The following is a 25587-nucleotide window of genomic DNA, read 5'->3' on the forward strand; positions in this document are numbered from 1 at the left end:
TTCAAACATGGTGAGTCTGGCAAATAGTCCTAAAACATTTCCTTAACTTCAGGTAAGAAAGAATTTCACTTTAGTTCCTTCACAAAGAACAAAATACATAATATAAACCACATCAAACACTATTCTACTTTGTTTAGGAATAAGAATGTGTATTCATCAAACATTATTTTAATTTCTTTATGAATAAGAATGTGCATTATAATGGTTAGGTATGAACTTCCAAATTTTTCACAATAATAAAAATATATATGGATAATTTCTTACTTGGATGGACTCTAAAAATAAAGTGTGAAAGGAAATGGAGAGGCAAAGGAGGGGAAGTTGGAAGGGGTGACACCGTACCCCAGGATCTCCTCCTCTCAGAGGGTACAGTGCTAAACAGTAATTGAATACTGCATGCATGCACATTTTGTCATGTCAAACTTGAATGCTGAAGAAACCATTTAGAGAGGTTTACAACACCTGTGTAGTGACAAACACCATTATGAAGGCGACAATTCTCAATGTTAGGAGCATGGAAATTACCTAGAGTTTCTGGAAAATGCAGTTTTTAGCCTCCTCCCAGAGATTCCAATTCGGTGGGCCTAAGGTGGGGGCCCCAAATCTGAACTATCAATCAGCTTTGTGGGTGATTCTGAAGCCAGTGATTCATCCACCGCAATGAATGCTGATTCTAGGTGAATTTTACGCTAATTGTGTTTCTAGGCATTCCCTTAAATAATCTCCAAGATTACAAGTGAGAAAATCAAGTTCTTGGTTTGACCCCTCCGTGTAGTCCTCCTTTCCAGTAGTTTGATGGTTTCATGTCCTTTGAAAAAGCCTCACTGCACCTTAATAGAAGAGCTAACCACGCCTGAAGCTAGGTTTTAGGAAGTCATGGTATAACACCCCATCCACATCCACATACATACGTGGGTTCACGTGTAGCATTTAGTACCTGGAAGTTGTATCTACCCTTCCCTGTAAATTAGGTTGGATGATAATTTGTGATTTAGTCCAGTTTTAATTAGATTGCATCCTTATTCACTTTAAAACACTTAAGAAATGAACAAGTGAGAGCTTTAATCTGTGTAGCTCCTAAGTTAGAATAGTTTCAAAAGCAATATGGAAAAATAAACAACAGTGATAAAACAGTAAGTAAGCAAACTAAAGGAAAGACTTCCAGAGCTATCACCTTTAAATAAATGGAGTGCAAGAACAGATGAGCCAGACCAGGTTATAAACAAGGAGCCTGTGATGAGAGAGCCCCAGAAGTGAGAACAGCAGCGAGGAAAACCGGGAGTGGGCTCCTGGAAGCCTGGCCGCGGGGGAGGTGCGCAGTGCTGCTTCCAATCAGCGGGTATCCTGCGATCTGGTTTTGAGTGGACCCTGGAGGACTTCTGTCCCAATTACAAGCTCTCTAACTCCACCGAGAAGTGAAACTGAAGGAATGGATAAAAATGTCTAATGATCTCACTAATAGTGTTGATAAAATATAGCTGTCACATATGCCAATCCTCTGCAATGTGAATGGTTCAAGTTTGGGGGTCGGCTATCCTGGGATCCCTCTCATTAGCTGGTTACTCCACTTCTCTGAGGCTTGGCTATCTCATCTGTAAACAGATGACAATACCTAAACATTGATACCTAAACACTGAGATACTGCAGGGCCCGGTGGCTCGCGCCTGTAATCCCAGCACTTTGAGAGGCTGAGGTGGGTGGATCATCAGGTCAAGAGATCACGACCATCCTGGCCAACATGGTAAAACCGTGTCTCTATGAAAAATACAAAAATTAGCCAGGCGTGGTGGCACCTGCGCCTGTAATCCCAGCTACTCAGGAGGCTGAGGCAGGAGAATCGCTTGAACCCGGCAGGTGGAGGTTTCAGTGGGCTGAGATTGCACCACTGCACTCCAGCCTGGGCGACACAGTGAGACTCTGTCTGAAAACAAAAACAAAAACAAAAACAAACAAACAAAAAAAGAAATGTCAAATAAGAAGCACACAGCAAGCTCCTGGAACCTACCAGGTTATCAGCAAATAGTACCAATAAGCAGTAGTTGTTGTTGGCAACTGTTGCTCTCAGTACATCACAGTTCTTATTTTCTTTTGGTCCCTCTCTGGACTCACACTAAATTCAGTTATAAACCACCAGCACTCACCAATGAAGAGCTGGCTGTTGAGCTGTAAACGAACGTGCCCATCAGCAGGGGCAGGCTGCATCTTCTGAGGAAGCTGATCAACTTGAAGAGACGCTCCTTTAACATTTCTCTCTGCCCTCACGTGGTGCCACTGATTGTCATTAAAGGGAGTGGGTGACTGCACCGTGACCTCACAAGGTCCATTCCCCACATCGAAGGAAAAGGTCACTTCTGTGGGAGCTAGAAATATTAGATATGAATATTGCTCAAGCAAATTCACAGAAAATTGAGTCTTGTGCAGACACAGGAAAACATGAAGGCACGCTCAGGATGGAAGGAGATAATGACGGCGATGCAGAAAAACGGGACTGTGAGTTGGGGTGGGGGCAGAATAAATCTGTATCCTGGAGGAAAACAGAACGGATTTTAACATATTTATCCTCAGAGTTCACAATTCAACCTTGTTAAGTCCTAAATAGTAGAGATATGTACCCATAGCTGGACTACCCATAGCTATGTACCTATAGCTAGAATACCAAATAGTATTTGTTTTTGAGGTTTCAGTAATTTTATTTACAAACGGCTCAAAGTCTCATCTAATTCTATAAACACTGAATGTAAATTTTGACAGTCATAAATTAAGCTTTGGGTACATAAAAAACAATATGTCTGGTCAAATATTTTTGGAATTCAGTAAACAATGTGATGAGTTTGGTTTAAAGCTCTGGCTCTGCTGTTCTGTACTCTAGGGAAGGCATGACATTTTAATGGATTATTACGTGCTTCATGCTTCATTGTTTTATTTTCTCTTAAAAATGATTACTGGCTGGGTGTGGCAGTTCACACCTGTAATCCCAGCACTTTGGGAACCCGAGGCAGGCAGATCACTTGAGGCCAGGAGTTGAAGACCAGCCTGGTCAACATGGGAAAACCCCACCTCTACCAAAAATACAAAAATTAGCTGGGCACGGTGGTGCCTGCCTATAGTCCCAGCTACTCAGGAGACTGAGGCAGGAGAATTGCTTGAACCCAGGAGGCTGAGGTTGCAGTGAGCCAAGATAATGCCACTGCACTCCAGCATGAGTGACACAGCAAAATCCTCTCTCCCTCTCTCAAAAAAAAAAAAATTACCTAAAATCATAGAAGTTTAGTATTTTATAATGAAATAGAATCACAAAATAAGAATGAAATACTAACATTTTGTTGAGTTAAAGCTTTTATTGCTAAATAATGGGTACCCTGTGACTTGTCCAGAGTGGCGAGCTTACCACGCAGCTCAATCCTGATGAAATCTGTGATCCCCAGGTTCTCCATAAACACCCCGGAGGAAACTGTGGTCTTAAAAAAGAAGCACACGTCAGCAGTGAGTTCTCCGTGGAAAGCAGGGAAATGAAGGTATGAAGTCTCAGTGTTGAAGGAAGCTGAATTCCAGAATGACTCTGTTTACAATAGAGAAAACGACAAAAGGAAAAAAAGTCATGAAACAAAAATAACAGCTACATTTGATACTTACAGGATTATGACTGCTAAATACATTAATAGAATCTATATGAGCTTTCACTGGGGGTTCTGAGCATCCATGTCATATACTGATGACATCAAGAGCTAAATGGTGATTATGGTGAGGATTAGAATTCTGTGTTCAGAGAAGGCCAAACAAAAGCGAAGCAAAAGCAATGAGACCAGTCAGGGGATCGCGCAGCAACACAGTAGGGACAGGGTCAAGTTCAGAATCACCTCAAAGGTACGACCAACAGAACTTACTGAAGAACTCGGTAAGATGTGAGAAGAAGGGTGGAGTCTGAGGTGACTTTGGGGTTTTTGGTCTAACTGGGAGGGGAAATAATTCTAAAGAGGCAGGTTCGAGCAGCAGCTCAGTTTGGGACATGTTTCATTTGAGATATCTATTAGGCATCCAAGTGGAGATTTGAAGGAGGTAGTTGGATAAATGACTCCAGAAGCCAGAACACAGACTCTTGCTTTCCTTCCTGCACATACACATACACACACACACACACACACACACACACACACACACACACACACTGTCTTAATTCCTTTCATGGCAAGAACAATCAAGAACAAGAAGAAGCTTATTTGTTCCCTTCTGTCCAAAACCCATCACAGGACTGCACATCACATGTATTCCTCAGGCCTCTTTAGTGTCCTTCATTCTGGTACAGTGTGTGAGTCTTTTCTTATCTTTTGTGTACTTTTGACTTTTTGGTATTTTTCAGTTGACTTGCAGAATGTTCCTCAACTTGGATTTGTCTGACATACTCATGATTGGATTCATGTTGTGCATTTTTGTCAAAAATACCACAGAAGGGCTGCTGTGTTCTCCTCAGTGTGTCGCAGCAGCAGGCAGCAATGCTGATCAGCCCATCACTGGTCCTGTTAGTTTCAACTGCTTTGTAAAGTGGCATTTGTCCACTTTCTCCAACATGAAGTTATTATTTTTCTCTTTGTAATTCATGTATTTTTGACACTTTAAGGTTACAGAAACACAACTTTACCCAGTTAAAAATTTCTTCATCCAATGGTTTTACAATATATTGATGGCTCCTGATTGAATTTTTATTCTGATGGCTGCCAGTGGTGATCTTCTAAGCTCTGTCATTCCTTCCACATTAATTGGTTGACATGCCTCCGTCAGAAATAGCTTTTCTCGGCTAGGTGCAGTGGCTCACGCCTGTAACCCCAGCACTTTGGGAGGCCAAGGCGGGCGGATCATGAAGTCAGGAGATCCAGACCATCCTGGCTAACATGGTGAAACCCCGTCTCTACTAAAAATACAAAAAATTAGCCAGGCATGGTGGTGGGTGCCTGTAGTCCCAGCTACTCGGGAGGCTGAGGCAGGAGAATGGAGTGAACCCGGGAGGCGGAGCTTGCAGTGAGGTGAGATCATGCCACTGCACTCCAGCCTGGGTGACAGAGCAACTCTCCATCTCAAAAACAAACAAACAAACAAACAAACCAAGAAATAGCTTTTCTCTTGATCTTTTACTAATTTATTTGTGTATTTATCCATTGGTTTATTCACATCACTCTTGAATTTGTATTCTATTCAATGGTTTATACTCTATAACTTATTTTGATGCTTAAGTTGTCTCAAATGTGGCAGCTCCTTTAAGCTGACACCCATGCCTTTTTCAGCTTTTTCTTTCCCCTTTGTCATAACAAAATGATCCAGGCTCATCTTACATTTTCTCTGCCACATTTCTGGAATCAGCCATTTCTTCAAGGAGTCGTGGTTTCTTTTTTAGCAGAGAATGATAGAAAATGGTGTTTAGAAGCCGAGATCTGCAGGCTATTTACTAGGGTGTCATTGCTTCTAGCCCTCTCAGTAGTCAGCTAGGAAATATGTGTATTTGTATCTCTCTCTCTCTCTCTCACACACACAGTCTCTCTCTTCTATGTGTATTCTACAGTTATCTATTATGTATATTAAAATCCATGAGTTCATGTGGATACCTCCGTTTTTAACCCAGCACCACAGGGTTCATTACAGTCTTCCTCCTTCCCACATGTATAACTCTTTCCTCAGTGAGAAGGTCACTCCTACTCTCCTCACTGTATTTACATATTTGCTCATTCCCCAGTGTGGAACCAAGCTTCTAACCCAGTGGTCATTCCTTGACCCTATCCCTGCAGATCCCCTAGTCCCAGCTGCCCCAAAAGAAGGGAAAAGAATCAATAAGTGTTATGTTAAAGAAAACAGAGATGAAGATAAGGAAAGGAAAAGAGAAAGGAAGAGGAATCTACAAGTTTTACAGAAGAGAATATTTTATTTTTCTTTCTTTCTTCATTAATCAATTTATTTATTTATTTTAGAGATGAGGTCTCACTTTGTCACCCAGGCTGGAGTGCAGTGGCATGATCATAGTTCACTGCCACCTCACATTCCTGGGCTCAAGAGATCATCTCACCTAAGCCTTCCTAGTTGCTAGGACTACAGGCCACCATGCCCAGCTAATTTTTAGTTTTTTTGTAAGAGACGGGGTCTTACCATCTTGTCCGGGCTTGTGTTGAACTCCTAGGCTCAAGCCATCCTCCCATCTCAGTCTCCCAAAAAGAGAAGGGAATATTTCAAATATCACACTTTCTCTTCTCCATACTTTCAGAAGTCTTGCTGAAAGTAGGATATAAACTGAAGGTGAATGACATATCCTGAAGAGTCTCACAAATACAGCCACGTTTGGAGAGAAATGAAGGGCTGAGGTAAATTTCCAGAGAGAAAATAATCTAGAAAATGTTTTTGAGAAGTACAGAGTACCTAGAAACCAGTGTTTGATGTCAGAGTATCAATAGGCAGGGGAAAAAGCTACAAATTTCCAGGGGTTATTACTGAACTGTGGGAGGCATCTGAAGCCTGCAGATATACCCTCCATGCTTCAGTGTGATGCCTGGCACAGGACATTTAATAATTCTTGAAGATAAAACGGCACAGAGAATGGCCAGTAAATCAGATACAATTCAACAGATCCCTCCCTTGAGCTCTTAGATTATGGGAAAAAAAATTGATAGGATGACCAACTCTAGTCCTGCTATTGCAGTTCAGAAGGGACAAGAAGTATGTGTCTGATTGTGAAGAGATGAATGTCGAGAAGAATTCAACTCCATTCCATATAAATGAATTAAATGTCTGGACAGACCTGCCAGACAGACCTGTGGTGTAGACTTACACTACAAGTATAAACAATGTTTCAAAAAGCGCTGAAACAGTGCAAACATACTGAGAAAGAAAAAGAAAAAAAGAAGACAGGAAAGAAAGAAAGAAAAAGAAAGAAAGAAAAGAAAGAGAGAGAAAGAAAGAAGAGAGGGAGGGAGGGAGTGGGGAAGGAAGGAAGGAAGGAAGGAGTATAAAAGCCAGACTGAATGGGAGGGAGGAAGGGAGGGAGAGAAAGAGGGAGGGAGGGAGGGAGGAAGGAAGGAAGGAGCCATCTGAATGGGATGGAGGAAGGAAATTAAGAGAGAACACAAGGAAAGAAAAATTTCATAAGAGTTTTACACTATGGGAATAATATAAAAACCAATTCAGTAAAATAAGAGCTAAAATATGAGATAAACAGAAAAGATGATTTTTAAGGAAAAAAAATCAAAGACCCAAACAAAATCACAGAGGTAACAGATAAATCGGAAATATCTGGAAATGGAGAACACAGCTGATAACAAATTACTGACATTGGGAGAAGCTTAGAATAATCATATTGAATGCATAGGAGAAGGACAAAGAGATTAAAGCCATTGGAAGAAACAGAAAAAATGTATGGGGGGCAAAGGAAACAAGTCAACAGTCCCAGATGCAGAGAATCCAACAAATGAAACAAAGTATTCAAAGCATAATAAAAACCATTTTTTCTTAAAAGAGAACAGAATATTTCGGTCAAAATAAGCATATTTCATTTTAGAAAAAATTAACAGAATAATTAATGCCAAGGCATATTCTGGATAAGTTTTTGAAATTGAAGGATAACATATCTGTCAAGAGCTGTGAGGAGTCTGAGATTTCACCCTACTTGCAAGCTAACAATTTAGCTTGCCACAGATTAATGGATGCTGATAGAAAACACAAAATTTCCGGGTCAGAGTTAAAGAACTTTACTGCTCACAGCACAGCATGCAGCATGAGTGTCAGAATATTTGCATTGGTTCCCCCTATCTCCAAATTTCACAGGGCAACACAATCCATCAGCCCAGGTGGATGCTACACACACAGTGGGTAGGTCTGCATCTCAGATGAGGAGCCCCCAGACAAGGGTCCGGGACTCCTTCATCAAGCAGGAGACAAGCCGGTCCCCCCCCTCTCTGGGGAGTGAGTACGCATCGATAGTGATGTTGTGTTCTCTTTGAACTACTTAGCTGCCTACACGACTGGCTACAGAAACTGCTTGGTATTAGGGGATGGAGACGCCACGCCATCTGGCACACTCGGCAAGAATGTACAGAGAGGCTCAGGCTCCTTGGTGAACCACCTCTCTCAGAAGTAGCCTCCACACATTGAGGTAGAGCAGGAAATAAAAATACATTTAGTCTCAGACTTCTCCACGGCAATGTATGATGCTAGTGGGTAAGAAACACTATTAAAATTTTTCTCAGGGAAAGAAGATTTTTACTAGCTTAGTTGTGGTTCCCGTGCTACGCAGTAGGTAGATCCTCTAAGAACCCTGGGCTTATAGTGCCACTGAGGTGGAGGAGCGAGGACTTGACCATGAAAGCCACCCATGAACGAAAATGCTGCAGGAAAGAGATTAATACACATTCGGTGCCATGTAATGTAAAACAGAATGTACAGAGGTCAGAAAATAGAGAGTGTCCAATAATTTCCTACCACTATAGTTGTCTGAAGAGTATAAGGGCAATGAATAAATATCCCTTAGAATTCAGAAAATAGTTCATCTCATGATTGTTCTGGAAAAAATACAATCAATTGATAATAAATCCAGCCAAGCAAGTAATAAGTTAAAACAAAGATGATTCATTTTCTATAAACTAATGCTTCAGTAAGGAAACACAGATCTTCAGTACTGACTGTGCCTTTATGGTATGTGTGTTTTCCTGATATTCGCCCCAGTCCTAGTACTGCCACTATTCTCTTTCTGGCAAGAACAAGGGCATTTGTCTACTCTTTTATAACCAAAAAAAGTTATTATGAAAATAAAGCTTTTTCTTGACACTACTTACGATCTCCGCGGCAGAGCAGTGGCCCCAGTGTATAAGCTGCTTCGGAATGTGGTCGGCCTGCGTCTGTCATCACAATCTGAGTGACTGGCAGGTGCTCCTTTTGGGAAAGGACTATTGTGTCACTAGTCCTAAAGAACAACAACCGAAACCATTAAAATTATTCTGATTAACATACGGGCAAAATTAACTCTGATCTCTTATCTCAATTTGAAACCAACATCATAGAGCTTAACAGAATACTTAACATTTTCAATATTTTGAGAGCACAGAGACTACCATGAATCTAAATCAGGGATGGGCAAACATTTTGTGTAAAGGACCATACAGCAAGCTATCTTAGCTCAGCAGGCCATGCAGCTTCTCACAGCAACTACTCAACTCTGCCACCAAAGTGTGAAAGCAGCCACAGACACAGGCATGGCTGGGTTGCAATAAAAATTTATGGATATGAAATCTGAATTTCATACAAGTTTTATAAGACATGAAATATTCTTTTTATTTTTCAACCTTTTAAAAATGTAAAGAAAACATTCTTAGCTCACTGCCATGCAAAAATAGACTAGTGGTCTGGATTTCACCCAAAGCAAGAGGTTATCAACTCCTGACCCGTTTGCCAATTCCTGATCTAAATGATTACAGAGAAGGGGAAAAATCAAGAAGGTAACTTCCCTTCTAAAATTGTCTTAGAATAATATCTAAGTGATTATTCATTACAAATAAAAATAGTAACACTGGATTTAGATATTCATTTTGCAGAATATTAATTTATCATTATTTTTTAAAGTCCTTTTATGATTACTGGGTATTTCTTTCCTTGTTAACTTTGTAAATGCAAAATGAATCCCACAGATTCAAAACCAAATACATACTACACCCTTATAAGTAATACATAGACTAATGAGTGTGAAAGTGGTCTGTGAAACACTGCTCCCAGTAGTTCAGGCAACAAACACAGGCCGGGCACAGTGGCTCATGCCTGTAATCCCAACACTTTAGGAGACTGGGGTGGGCAGATTGCTTGAGCTCTGGAGTTCGAAACCAGCCTGGGCAACATAGTGAGGCCCCGTCTCTACAAAAAATACAAAAATTAGCTGGGTGTGATGGTGCACACCTGTAGTCCCAGCTACATGGGAGGCTGAGGTGGGAGGATCCCTTGAGCCTGGGAGGTAGAGGCTGTAGTGAGCCATGTGTGCGCCACTGCACTCCAGCCTGGGTGGCAAAGTGAGACCTTGTCTCAAAAAATACAAAAAACAAACAAAAAACCCCACACACTCAGCGCTCACCTTTTGTCAAACAGACATTGTCCTGGGAATTGAGGACACAGAGTAAAAAATATATTTTAGTCTCTGCCTTCTGAAAGCACACAGCCTATTGAATACCATGAGTATTAATTATGTGACTGGGAAAATAAATGCACACGTCTGGGTCCAATACAAAGAGACCTGGAGGATCCCCTAGGGGAACCTGGGGTCCTGGTCTTAGCTATGCCACTAATTTTGTCTCTGGCCAAAATAAAGGCATTTGTCTACTCTGCTGCAAAAGTATTTTATTATATATGTGTATGTAACTGTATATGTAATAAATATTTGGCCAATAATAAATATTGCATATATGCATATATAACAAAATGCTTATATTTATATACTTTTGGTTATATTTTATCACATATATGTCTCAACTGCATGTACATTCTGATTTACAGACAAAACACTCTTAGTCCAGTTATGGTTAGAAACTCCACAGTATCTAGTAAATACTGTATTTTTTAAATTGCCCAGTTCTCAAACCTTCTTTTGTATGCATTTGTGGCAAAAGATCACAATAATTGATATTTCATCATTGCAACACTTTTGTATTTTCAAAATAAGGCTTTCTGAATTAAAAAAAATTAAATTGGCATGTCAGAGTTGTACATATACTGGGGGCACATGTGCTATTTTGATACTAGAATACAATGCATAATGATCAAATCAGGATAACTGGGATATCCATCACTTTGAGCAGTTATCCTCTGTGGTGGGAACATTACAATTCTCTTCTGGCTATTTTGAAATATCCAATAAATTACTGTTAACTATAATTTCTCTAGTTCTATCAAATACTAGAATTTCTTTTACTTAACTCGACTTTTGTACCCATTAATCAACTTCTTTTATAAAAGACTTTAGGTATCAAACTTTCAAATTGGAAAATATAAAACTAAAATAAAGTGGCTATATTATTTAAGATTATTCCCTGAAAAAATACACTTAATGGTAAAGAAAGCTTATTTCTAAAATTCAGACTAAAACCCTGTTGCTTTACCTAGTTAAGATTCTGTTATTCATTTTTATGCAAAGAACAGAATATGGATTATCTAAAGGCATCACCATTCAGCTTTAGAGTGGATTGATGGTAGACAAGCTAGAAATATGTCTCCTGCTGAATGAGGTAGGTCTAGGAAATTTTTTATTAATGTGGTGGTAGCCATTAAAAATTACCATTTCAACTTCTGTGATCATCATTTTAGCAAGATAGTCTAGTAGAGAAAATGCAATTTAATTATTTATGGAGGATGCTTGTATTTTAAAAGATCTATTTCACGGGAGCTCCAAGTTTCATTCCATTTTCAATACTGACTGTGCAAAATATTGAGAATGTGTAAATGAAATCCACATTTCAGTTTAATTAGGGCAGATACTATAATAAAGTCTTGTTTTTTCAGTTGTTTTGGAAAGTCTGGTGTTTTCATTCTGAGCATAAAGATAGCCAGTGTTTTTCACCAGTTTCTTATTGTTACAGGCAGATTCCCAACCTTTGGAGATCAAAATAGAATACTCAGGATTTGTCATAGTTATCAGACTTCCTCAAAACTTCCTAATTAATAGGGACATCTCATTTTTCTTTTCTATTATTTTCTAAAGCTTATACTATAGTCTACACTTGGAAATAGTGCTTTCATAGGTACCATAATCTCTTGCAGCAGTATTAAAAATTCAGTAAGAGAACTTTCAAAGACTTTTTGCTTTTATTTTATATTTTATTAAAATTTTTATTTATTAGAAATTCCTACGGTTCTGGAAATTGTACTTTCCTAGGAAGTGTGAAAACTTCTAAAAGCTACTACTTATTATTTGCCAGGGAACTTTATTTAAGGCAAAGTAGGGCCATAAGTTTGGGAGGTTGCAAAGAAAGCTAAAAGGGAGAAATGTTAAGTCAACTTTTTAACTTTTTTTTTTTCTTTGAGACAGAGTCTCACTCTTGTCGCCCAGGTTGGAGTGCAATGGTGTGATCTCTGCTCACTGCAACCTCCACCCCCAGGATTCAAGCAATTCTCCTGCCTCAGCCTCCAGAGTAGCTGGGATTACAGGCGTGCGCCACTATGCTCAGCTAATTTTTGTATTTTTAGTATAGACGGGGTTTCACCATGTTGGTCAGGCTGGTCTCGAACTCCTGACTTCATGATCCGCCCGCCTTGGCCTCCCAAAGTGCTGGGATAACAGGTGTGAGCCACCGCGCCCAGCCCAACTGTTAATGATTATTTTGGGGGAGTAGGTCAGCAATAATAAAATCATTATGATCCACATCTAACACACTTAAAAAATTTCTAGATTCTCAGTTTCTGTTTAATTGCCTATCTTCTGGCCAATTCAACCTGCATTAATTACTACAGCAATACAGTATGTCTTGACAGCTAACAGAACTAGTTTCTTCACTTTATTTTTCATCTTAAAAATTATCTTGCTTATCCTTTCATCCTTAATTTCCATATGAATTTTAAAACCAGGTTGCTGCAATCCACACAAGTAAAACCACTTGGCATTTTTTTGAATTTTGTTAAAATTACAGACTAATTTGATGAGAATGTCAACTTTAAAAGAGGGTATCTCAACAGCAGCGTTACTGATATTTTGGGCTAATTTTTTTTTGTTATGGGGGGGCTGTCCTGTGCACTGTAGGATGCTTAGCAGCACCCTGATTTCTAATTAATAGACACTAATATAAACAACCTTCCTCTCTGTGTGATGACAAAAATGTCTTCAGACAATGCCAAATGTCCCAAGAGTCGAAATCACCCCCGATTGAGAACTACTGCTTTAAGATACTGAGTCATACTATCCACGACAGTAGTGAGTCAATCCATTTATTTGGCTGTCCTTAATTCTCTTGAATAAGTTTTGTAATTTTGTAATTTTTTCCATAAAAGTACTGCAGTTATTCCACAGAACTTTACATTTTTGTTAATATTGCAAATAAAATTTTTCTAGGTGTGTAATGGTAATTATTTTAAGATTTTATAGAAATTCAAGTAATTCCTCAATACTGACTGACCATAAATTCAGCAAACTTACTGAACTCTCATTTTTCCTGATATTTCTTTATATTATTTTGGATTTTCTATGTAGGCAATCATATTATCTACAATATCTGCCAGGTTTGTTTCTTTTCCAAACTTTTTATCACTTACATCTATTTTATTTCCTCTTGTGTCTTTAACTGACACACGCATGAACTTTTAAAAATTATATATTCATTATTGATTACAGTTAAGAATATAGTTTCCATCATGACAATTCCATAAAATTTGTTAAGATTCCATCCATTTACAAAATTTTTTATACTTATTCAACAATAATGTATAATACATTCTATAAAGAAATAATTTTTCCTTACTAAACGATATATGGCTGCTATATCAAGTTTGTTAATTATAATATTAAAATATTCTTACCTGCTTCACTTACTCATTCCCAAAAATGTTATGTTAATTATTCCACTGTTTTGGGTGTCAATTTGCCTTTGCATATTTGTTAATTCTCTCTCTCTCTATATATACACACACACATATATATACACACACACATATATATACACACATATATATACACACATATATACACACACACACACACACACATATATATATATACACACACACATACTTTTTTTTTTTTTTTTTTTGAGACAGAGTCTTGGTCTGTCGCCCAGGCTGGAGTGCAGTGGTGTGATCTTGGCTCACTGTAAGCTCTGCCTTCCAGCTTCACGCCATTCTCCTGCCTCAGCCTCCCGAGTAGCTGGGACTACAGGCGCCCACCACCATGCCTGGCTAATATTTTTTGTATTTTTAGTAGAGACGGGGTTTCACCTGTGTTAGCCAGGATGGTCTCGATCTTCTGACCTCGTGATCTGCCCGCCTCAGCCTCCCAAAGTGCTGGGATTACAGGCGTGAGCCATGGCGCCCTGCCACTTCTTTATATATTTTAAACAATCTGATGATACACACAAGTGTAGTGAGATCTTTCTAGTGAGTTTATCTCAGCATTAGATAGAGTTCAAGTTTATCCCTAACAATGCTTTTCATCTTTGTCTGACATAATACAGCTGTATCTGCTTTCTTTTGATTTGTATTTACTCGGTAAATATTTTCTATTCTTTTAGTTTCAACTTCACTGAGTGCTTATATTTTATCTTTTGTAAATAAGCTATAGCTTCTTTAAAAATCCAATATGATAAAATCTAATGTCTGGTTTTTAAATGAACAGAGTTTACTCATATTTATTATGATTATTTGTACACTTGTATGCATTTAAACCATCTTATTTTATGCTTTTTTTTGTGGTTACTTTTAAAGACTCTAAGATAATCACACAAAAGTCCTATTTAAATTCTTAAGTAAAATAATATTACAGTTACATGTGTCATCATTATATTAGCAAAACAACTTGTGGATTTTTGCAGACAGCTGAATTATATGTTATATGTATATTTTAGAGAATATATTGGTCTATTTGAACATAGTCCACTATACATTTATACACATATATTGACTTGCAGCATAGTTCAATATTTTAAATCATTATAGTGCCTTTTAAATATATTTGTTTTTATAATAAATCTTTGGCATGTTATAGTTATTTGATAGAATATTCTTACTGTGCCTGAGGAACTGTCTGATCATAAACTTTTTTTTAAGTAATATGCTTTAGACGAGTTGCTGATTACAGGGACAACTTACGGAAAAATGGCGATGGTTTATATTAACAATACTGCCTGCCCCATTAACGGACATATGCCTGAAGAGACTTAAAATAGCTTTCACTTTACTTTCATTCCCAAATACTATTTTTATTATAAACTTTCCACCAGGAAAACCTTACTAGGCACACCTCAGTAATAGAAAATAAGTAATAAAGACTAAGATTTATGTTCTTATGTCTACACCTTAATCTAAATTATTACAATTATAAATCTTTTCATTTCATGAGACTGGTAAATTCCATTTTTATAAACTGAAAAATCAATTTTATTTGAAAAATTAAAATAGAAATTGTAATTTCCCACCCCCCCACCCCCATACACACCCCCACATTTACAAAACAATCTACAAAAGTTGGGATAGGATTTCAGAATGCTTGTGGTCTTACTGTTGGATAGACCTGTCTACTGGAAGCTGCAAAGTAAATAAAATAAGGTTAAAAAGCAAATGACTCCACAATGCTCCCTTCTGAATGTAGGAGGGGAGTTAATTTTTAAAACCTGCTTCTCTCCTAAATTTTTTTCCAAATGAAAGCCCAGGGCTTCTGTCACACCAGTGCAGTCCTTGACGGTGCTGAAGTGACATGGCTAAGGGTATCAGAGGACCTGCACCCACCTCAGTTCCTCCCATTCCCCTCCTCAAACTCAGTTCATGGGAGGGTCACTCAATACAGGTGGCTCCAAGTGATACGTTCCTCTGGTTACTGCCCTAAGCATACGTGAAGTCTACAATAAAGTATGCACTTAATACTAACAGAAGGTTCTGTAACAAAAAAACAGTTGACCAGCCTGGCCAATAGTGAAACCCAGTCTCTACTAAAAATACAAAAATTAGCCGGGTGTGGCACTCGGCTGTAATCCCAGTTACTCGGGAGGCTGAGGCAGGAGAATCGCTTGAATCCGGGAGGCGCAGGTTGCAGTGAGCTGAGATCGCACCACTGCATTCCAGCCTGGGCGACAGAGAGAGACTCTGTCTCAAAACAAAAACAAAACAAAACGGTTAACATTCTTCGAACTAAGTTATAAAGCCACTAGCATATATGCCATTCTGGCTTTCTTGTAATAACCTGCCAATGCTCTCCTCTCTGACCTGTAGAGAATGGGGGTGGGGACAGACCAATGAGCTGGAGGTCTTCTGAACAGCCAGGAGCTGGAGGGCTGGAGCCCTCACAGGCAGGAGCCCCTTGTGGAATGGAGGAAATGAAAACCTCTAGGATTGTTAAAGATGTCCGTCAAAAGATTTGAAGGTCGCTGTTTGTCTCATTAGAGCCCAAAGCTAACACACATCATCACATTATCATACCAGACACTTTAAAATGTACATCATACAAAATATTGTACAAAACCATTTTAACTCATGGGAAATTACTTCAGACCTGAAACTTACTGGTGGTCAGATTTGAAACTATGGATCAGATCTGTTCCTGTTACTCACTGCACTAAAACTGCATTCATTTTTAAGTAAGAGAAAGTTGTATTAAGATTGCATATCAAAATATTCAAAAAGAGTGTCTCATAAATCTGTATGATCATTTAGTAATTTTGAACTTGAGGAAGATTAAAAATAATATCCATGTAAATGTATAGTATGTATTCTATAGAAAGCTCCAGTAGATTCAAGTGAGTTTTCCCAACTTCACAATATTTTTTAAAGTGATGCAAAGTAGACTTTTTATGCCAGATAAATAAGTGGACTACCATGCAGGCCAAACAACTCCATTTTTAGGAATCAAATTACTGCTTAGATTAGCTATTTTATGTCCAAATCAATTATACTGACACCTGGATTGACCATTACATTTTTTATTTATTAATTATTATTATTATTATTATTTTGAGGTGGAGTCTTGCTCTGTCGCCCAGGCTGGAGTGCAGTGGCGCGATCTCGGCTCACTGCAACCTCTACCTCCTGGGTTAAGCAATTCTCCTGTCTCACCCTCCTGAGCAGCTGGGACTACAGGCACACACAGCCACACCCGGCTAATTTTTGTATTTTCAGTGGATACGGGGTTTTGCCACATTGGCCAGGCTGGTCTCAACCTTCTGACCTCAGGTGATCCACCTGCCTTGGCCTCCCAAAGTGCTGTGATTACAGGCGTGAGCCACAGTGCCTGGCCTAAGTTTTTTTTTAAAGCACGTACTCTACATGATCTAGTTGTTTTATGACAATGCTTTTTAAGTTGCTGACATGAACCCAAAGGTTGAAAACATTTACATATTACAAATAAAAAAAAGAAAACCAATATGCATTTCAAGAGTAACCTCAAAAAGAACTTCTGAAAAAAAGGCATTGCAATCTACATGAGAAAATTGTTTCTGCTCAAAGGAAAGCTTACAAAATAATTTTCAAATTCCAGAAAGTCTATGTTAGTTGTTTCAAAGTATGGTCTACAGAACAGTTGGTGCTTGAAGCTTTGCTATTGCACTGAAGATTTCAATGAGTGTGGGAAATTGTTGCTTCTACAAAATAAACACAGTCCTTTTATGCAGGACCTCTCAGAGTTTCTTGTGTTAATGTTAATTTCTAAAAGAAAGATAGAATATGCAGCATTATATCCCAAATCAATTTAAGACAAAGATTTGGAGGAATTTGCTTTTTGAATTGCCACATGAATACTACGTTAATTAATTAACTAAACTTCGCAGAGAATGATATTTGATTTCCAGTGAGTGGAAAACTTAACAGCTGTTTCTCTTTTACGAAAAATAAAAAACACATTATATAGTATTCACAACGAACTAGTAAATCTTTGGTCATAAAATTTAATCCTTAGATTAACTGATCATATTTCATCAAAACTTGTATTTCAGCTTGCTTGAACATACTTTAGTTACCTTATTGTACCAGCTTGTCTGACATTTAATTAACTATGCATAATTAAAGAATAAAAACCACATTTTTGTGCAGGGAAATCATGTGGAAATCACCATTCATTCCGGCCAGCATCACAGTTGCAGTAATACTGAGAATCAATGCAGTTCCCCTCTAATCCACAAGTACACTTTTGAGCATCAGGCAGAGAACCTCCCCAGGAAGTGTGTGTTTCATTGGTTCTTCCAACCCACCAGCTCAGTGGGGTTCCATCTGAAAGACAAGTATAAGAAACATGACATCTACTTTGTCCCTCACTACCACCCTCCCCATATAGCTCCCTTTACTCCCAGGTGTAAAGTGTATGTGTGAGAGACAGAGAGAGAGAAAATGAAACTATACTTAAATACTTGTATTTTACCTCTGAAACGTTTATTTAAGCCTAACCAATGTTTTTCCCCCAATATTTCAATATCTAGGCTTAAATGATTCCATCTATTTTTCTTCTATTAGAAATCAGTCAGTTGCATGTGATACATACTTTCTATAGAAATAACATTCAAAAAAATTCACCATTAAAATAAATACCAGAGTAATTTGCACACTAAAGATAAAATCTATTTGAAATTATGAAATGTTCATTGAGAAAGTTTAATATTATACAAAGACATTGATTTATCTCATCCCATCTTTTTGCTAACTACCTGTATATTACACATTTGGAAAGATATGGTACTCTCTGTCAGTACTTACTAATTTTTGGAGGTATTTGTTTTTATTGCATTGGATGTCCTGACTCTTTATTTGGAGGTTAAGGAATGACATTGATAGGCTTTTCTCATCTCTGAGGTTAGAGATTTCTCATGCGAAGAAACAAAGTGCCCTGGGTCAACTACAGCTCTGACGAGTGCACCTCCTTCTCAGCACTGACAATGATTAAATGATAGAGTCAGACACTAACTCAGATCTATAGAACTGCATATTAGGACAAGGGATGCTGCCAGGGGTTGGGAGTGAAGATTGGGGTGATGGACTGACTGCACATCACAGTAAAGTTAGGATAATTTAAAAAGCAGGTGTCAGGCCACCTATCTTAAAAAAGGAAGGGGGTCAGGGGCCACAAGTTGCAGTCATCACAGATGAGGCCATGAGGAAAATGAAATTGGATTAACTCAACCAGTTTTTTAAAGATGCTTGATCATGTGGTGCTGTTTTTCAAATTTCAATAGGTTGTTACCATTGGAATATGAATTGAGATCTGGAACTTAGCTTCTACCTTACTGCTTATTACAACTCAATTATAACTCATCCATAGATAAGATCTCTGCATTCATTACCACCACCACTATCCATCACCTGCCCCTCTGCCAAAAAAAAAAAAAAAAAGGCAATCTGGGAAAATTTAAAGAGGAATTAGTACCAGGAATCTTTTAAAAATGTGCTAAAACCTTGTCACTACAACGTAAAAGATATTTTTAAAAATTAATACACTCTTCTCGGAATGCCACTTTAAAAGTTACCGACTTCACCATTAAACTGTCGCAGATTAAAGAGCAAAACACTCACTATATCCTAATGTACAAGTGTAAATTTACACCTAAATCTCCCATATTCCCCATAAAGTAGTAAAAATGTATTTTTTTTAGAAACAGTAGCAAAAAGATGTAAGTGGGTGAACTTCTACACTGATAAAAGATCTTGTAGACTTGTCTATCCCTGCTATTTCCACCAAGTATAATGATAGATTCTGGAAATAATACAGAAGACAACCGAAGAGAATTCTGAAAGGTAGAAAGAGGAAGCTTAGGACCCCAGGACTGGAAGATACAATAACATAACTTTTTAAAAAACTCTGAATGGGCTCAAGAATAGAGTGAAAAGACAGAGGACAGAATCACTGAACTTGAGGACCCATCAATAGGCTTTATCTAACCTGACCAAAAAAGAGAAAACAGACTGAATATAAAAAGAACTGAGCCATAGGGTCCTATCAGACAATATCATCCGAATCTCAAAAAGAGAGAAGAAAGTGTGCTGAAAGAGTACTGAAAAAATACTGGCTGTAAACTTCCCACATGTGGTGAAAGACACAAACCCAGAGATTTAGGAAGTAAAGTTTAAGTCCAAAAAAGGATAAACCCAAAAATATCGACACCAAGATCCATCATAATTGAACTTTTTGGAAACAAAACAAAACAGAAATCTTGAAAGCAGCCTGAGAGAATAACACATTACCTGCCTGTAAAAGAACCCTAATTTGAATGATAGTAGATTACTCATCTGAAATTACAGAACCAGAAGGAATGGCATATTTTTTTCAGGGCTGATAGAAAAGAATTGTCAACTATAAATTATATATCCAGAGAAACTATCCTTCAAGAATAAAATGGAAATAAAACCTTTTTAGGCCGGGTGCGGTGGCTCACGCCTGTAATCCCAGCACTTTCGGAGGCCGAGGTGGGCGGATCACGAGGTCAGATCGAAACCATCCTGGCTAACACGGTGAAACCCCGTCTCTACTAAAAATACAAAAAATAGACGAGCGTAGTGGCGGGAGCCTGTAGTCCCAGCTACTCAGGAGGCTGAGGCAGGAGAATGGCGTGAACCCGGGAGGCGGAGCTTGCAGTGAGCCGAGATTGTGCCACTGCACTCCAACCTGGGCGACAGAGTGAGATTCCATCTCCAAAACAATAACAACAACAAAAAACCTTTTTAACACAAAAGAAAACTAAAATAATTTGTCGCTAGCAGACATTCCCTAAAGAATGGCTAAAGGAGGTTTTTCAAAAAGAAAGGAAAATATAACAAAGGATTCTTGGAACATCAGGAAAAAAATGAAAAGAGAAGAAATATGGATAAATGTAATAGACTATCCTTATCAATTTTTGAAATGACATATGATAATTGACACAAAAATTGTAATACCATATGATACTCAAGACAATGATATTTAGAAGTGGGGAAGATAAAGGACCCAAATAGACATAAGGATTACATATTTCATTATGAGAGTGAAGATATTTAAGTTGACTGTGGTAAGTCACATATGTAAACTATAATACCAAGCAACGAGTAAGAAAATTATAAAAATTACCTTAAATGTAAATGGTTAAAATATAACAAAAGTTAGACGTTGGCAGAATCAACTGAAAAAAAATAACACAACGAGAAATTTATAAGAAACTCACTTCAAAATAAACATAGGCAGGTTAAAAGTAAAAGGATGGAAAAAATACACTCTGCAAAAATTAAATTTGAAAGAAAGCAGAATGGCTATCTCATAAAATAGACTTCAGAACAAAAATACTAGAACAGGGACATTACATAATGATTTAAAAAAAATCACCAGGAAGACATAAATGTATATGCAAGAAACAATACACCCTTAAAAAAATGAGGCAAAAATTGAGACTTCTGGTTTCCAATCTGATATGACGTTAAGAGTCTGGAAGTCATCGCTCCCATTCTCACAACAAGAAAAAAGCTGCACTAACTAAAAATAAACAGTTCTTCTTACACAGTTAAAGTCATAGGGCAAACATTACTCCTAAAGCTGCAGAGACAAGTGAAAACAGCATCACAGCTAATGGAGCCAAAGCAGATGGTGGAGTCTGGTAAAAGCACTTAGAATGTAACTGACTAATTGATGGATACTGAGCAAGGACAAGCTACAGAGATTGAAAACTCCTAGAGTGGGGGATAGGCCTTAGAGGGTCAACACACCTTCAAGAGTTTTATCTCCAGGAAGAGCCCCATCAAGTTCTCAGAATAAAGATAGGAAAAAAAATGCTCTTATGTCTCCAGTCCTGGGGTCCTAAGACATAAGGGGAGGGAAGGAGAAAACATTTTTGAAATAAGCGCAGAACATTATGTTCTCTCCTTAACAACATTCTAATCCCCCAAAAAGCTAGTTTACTAGAGCCTAAACCACCTAGGGGAATGGAAATACCCAGCACCAGCCCCCTCTACCCTTCTTTTCTTACCCAAGGGAAGGGGAAGGAAGCTGAGAAGCACTCTGAAGGTCACAGTCCAGGAAGACAGGTTCTCTAAAAGACTGACCTAATCCTAAGAGTACAGGATGCTTCTGGCCGGGCGCGGTGGCTCACGCCTGTAATCCCAGCACTTTGGGAGGCCGAGGCGGGCAGATCATGAGGTCAGGAGATCGAGACCATCCTGGCTAACATGGTGAAACCCCGTATCTACTAAAAATAGAAAAAAATTAGCCGGGCGTGGTGGCGGGCGCCTGTAGTCCCAGCTACTCGGGAGGCTGAGGCGGGAGAATGACGTGAACCCAGGAGGCGGAGCTTGCAGTGAGCTGAGATGGCGCCACTGCACTCCAGCCTGGGCTACAGAGCGAGACTCTCTCAAAAAAATTAAAATAAAATAAAAACATTAAAAAAAAATGAGTATACGATGCTTCTCCTCTTCCCGCACCTTATCATCAATCACATCAGTACATTACCTGTATAGTAACAGGAGATTAAAAATGAAAGAGCTGTCAATTTTAGACCCTATTTAAGACAGAGTCTCTGGGAAAACTCAAAACGGAAGAAAGAAAAATAAAATAACCTTAGAGGAAATTTTGGCCTCTGACACCACAGTTATGCAAAGAGCAAATTCAGCCTAACTACTAACTAGATAAACATAAAACCTTACATTAAAGGCTTCCTTACCTCAGTTCCTTTGCCAATACAACATGTCTGGCTTTCAACAGAAAATTGCAAGGTATGCTAAAGCCAAACAATACAGTCTTATGAGACAAATCAAGCAAACATGCAGATATGACAGATTTGGAAATATCAGATAAAGAATTTGAAATAATAATCAGTATGCTAAGGGCTCTATGTTGAAAAAGTGGGCAACATGCAAGAAGAGATAGGTACTATAAACAAAGATATGAAATTTCAAAGAATCAGAAGGAAATACAGAGATTAAAAGTAAAAATTGTAGAGTGTCTTTGATGGCCTCATCAAAGTCTGGGAAGACTGGGAAGTGCTGAGGAAAGAATCAGTGAGTTTGAAGATACGTCAATAAAATTTTTCCATTAAACACAAAGAGAAAAAGAATGAAAAATGAAACATAATATCCAAACTGTTGGACAATAATTTTTTTTTTTTTTTTTTTTTGAGATGGAGTCTCTCTCTGTCGCCCAGGCTGGAGTGCAGTGGTGCAATCTCGGCTCACTGCAAGCTCCGCCTCCTGGGTTCATGCCATTCTCCTGCCTCAGCCTCCCGAGTAGCTGGGACTACAGGCGCCCGCCACCACGCCCGGCTAATTTTTTGTATTTTTAGTAGAGACGTGGTTTCCCCGTGGTAGCCAGGATGGTCTGGATCTCCTGAACTTGTGATCCGCCCGCCTCGGCCTCCCAAAGTGCTGGGATTACAGGCAAGTGAGTCACCGCGCCCGACCCTGTTGGACAATTTCAAACGGTGTAACCTATGTAACCCATAATCGGAATACCAGAAGTAGAAGGAAGAGAGTGAGAACCAGAAGAAATATTTAAAATAATGACAGTTGAGAATGTTTCAAAATTAATGACAGACATGAAACCATAGGTTCAGGAATCTCAGCAAACACCAAGCAGGTTAAATACAAAAAAATCCACACCTAGGCATCTCATATTCAAATTGCAAAAAATTGAAGACTTTCTTAAAATTAAAATAAAATCTTTTAAAAATAAAATCTCGAAATAAACCAGAGTAAAATAAAACACCTTACCTACATAGGAGCAAGAATGAGAATTATGCCAGATTTCCCTTAAGGAACCATGCAAGCAAGAAGAAAGTGAAGTGAAATATTTAAACTGTTGAGAGAAAACACACACTAATATAAAATTCTATATCCAGTAAAATTATCCTAAATAGTAAAGTAGAAATAAAGACTTAGATAAACAGAATTGAGGAAATCTTTCTCCAGTAGACCTACCTTGCAAGCCATGTTAATAGAAGTTCCTCAGAGAAAAGAAAAACAATATAGGTCAAAAACACAGAAATACATAAAGAAAGGTAGGAGCATTAGAGAAGAAAAAATTTAAAATAAAATCTAGTGTCTTCTTCTTAATTGATGTAATAGGTAACAGCTCTAAATAATACTAACAATGTATTGGGTGATTATGGCTTATGAATAAGTAAAATGAATGATAATAATGTAATACAAAATAAGACAGAAGGATTGGAAATGCTGTGTTATAAAGTACCAGCACCATTAATGAAGTGGAATAGTGTTGTTTGAAAGTAGATTGTTATAGTGTATATTTCATACTCAAAGGCTACCACTAAAACAATGACCAAGAAATGTAATTAATATTCTAGGAGAAGTGAGGATATGGAATCATATAAAATGCTCAATTAAAACAAAAAATGTGACAGGGGAATTCAGGAAAAAAAGAAGAAACAAGGGCAACAAATAAAAAAGAGTTACAATATGGCAAATATTAATCCAAGTATCAATAATCACTTTAAATGTAAACAGTCTAAATATACCAATTAAGAAAGCAATGGCAACAAAAGCCAAAATTGACAAATGGGATCTAATTAAACTAAAGAGGTTCTGCACAGCAAAAGAAACTACCATCAGAGTGAACAGGCAACCTATAGAATGGGAGAAAATTTTTGAAATCTACCCATCTGACAAAGGGCTAATATCCAGAATCTACACAGAACTTAAACAAATTTACAAGAAAAAATCAACCTCATCAAAAAGTGGGCGAAGTATATGAACAGACACTTCTCAAAAGAAGACATTTATGCAGCCAACAGACACATGAAAAAATGCTCATCATCACTGGCCATCAGAGAAATGCAAATCAAAACTACAATGAGATACCATTTCACACCAGTTAGAATGATGATCATTAAAAAGTCAGGAAACAACAGGTGCAGGAGAGGATGTGGAGAAATAGGAACACTTTTACACTGTTGGTGGGACTGTAAACTAGTTCAACCATTGTGGAAGACAGTGTTGCGATTCCTCATGGATCTAGAACTAGAAATACCATTTGACCCAGCCATCCCATTACTAGGTATATACCCAAAGGATTATAAATCATGCTGCTATAAAGACACATGCACACATATGTTTACTGAGGCAGTATTCACAATAGCAAAGACTTGGAACCAACCCAAATGTCCATCAATGACAGACTGGATTAAGAAAATGTGGCACATATATACCATGGAATACTATGCAGCCATGAAAAAGGATGAGTTCATGTCCTTTGTAGGGCCATGGATGAAGCTGGAAACCATCATTCTCAGCAAACTACCGCAAGGACAAAAAAACAAACACTGCATGTTCTCACTCATAGGTGGGAATTGAACAATGAGAACACTTGGACACAGGAAGGGGAACATCACACACTGGGGCCTGTCATGGGGTGGGGGGAGAGGGGAGGAATAGCATTAGGAGATATAGCTAATGTAAATGATGAGTTAATGGGTGCAGCACACCAACATGGCACATGGATACATATGTAACAAACCTGCATGTTGTGCACATGTACCCTAGAAATTAAGGTATGATAATAATAAAATAAAAGACTGAGACTGTCAGAGTAAACAACAACAACAAAACCCATGATCCACCTACATGTTGTCTACTGAAATCCTCTTTAAATATAAAATAGCAGGTAGATTTGAAGAGCTAGAGAAAGATATACCATGGTAACACTAACCAAAAAGAAAGCCAGAGTATCTAAATTAATTTTAGACAAAGCCAACTGCAGAGCAAGGAAAATTATCAGAGATGAAAAAGGGTATTACACAATAATAAAGGGGTCAATATAACAAGAAGATATAATAATGCTTAATGTGTATATACCTAGCAACAGAAGAGTCAAAATATATTAGGGGGAAACTGATAGAACTGCAAGGACAGAGAGACACATCCATTATTACCACTGGAGACTTCAACACCCCTCTATGAGTAAGTGACAGACTCAGCAGGAAGAAAATCATT

At 38.1% G+C, this 25587-nt stretch overlaps 1 protein-coding gene across 2 annotated transcripts in view; it reads right to left on the reverse strand.

The window, feature by feature from the left end:
• CNTNAP3 (contactin associated protein family member 3) overlaps positions 1-25587 on the reverse strand; it is a 223458-nt gene that overhangs the window by 35646 nt on the left and 162225 nt on the right. For both annotated transcript variants that reach the window (NM_001393379.1, NM_033655.5), the window contains exons 14-17: positions 17748-17904; positions 8805-8932; positions 3389-3559; positions 2142-2360 (exon numbers count right to left, since the gene is read on the reverse strand). In NM_001393379.1, the coding sequence (NP_001380308.1) occupies positions 2142-2360; positions 3389-3559; positions 8805-8932; positions 17748-17904 (675 nt within the window). The remainder of the gene's footprint in view (positions 1-2141; positions 2361-3388; positions 3560-8804; positions 8933-17747; positions 17905-25587) is intronic.

This window comes from Homo sapiens, chromosome 9, assembly GCF_000001405.40.
Source record: "Homo sapiens chromosome 9, GRCh38.p14 Primary Assembly".
NCBI lineage: Eukaryota > Metazoa > Chordata > Mammalia > Primates > Hominidae > Homo > Homo sapiens.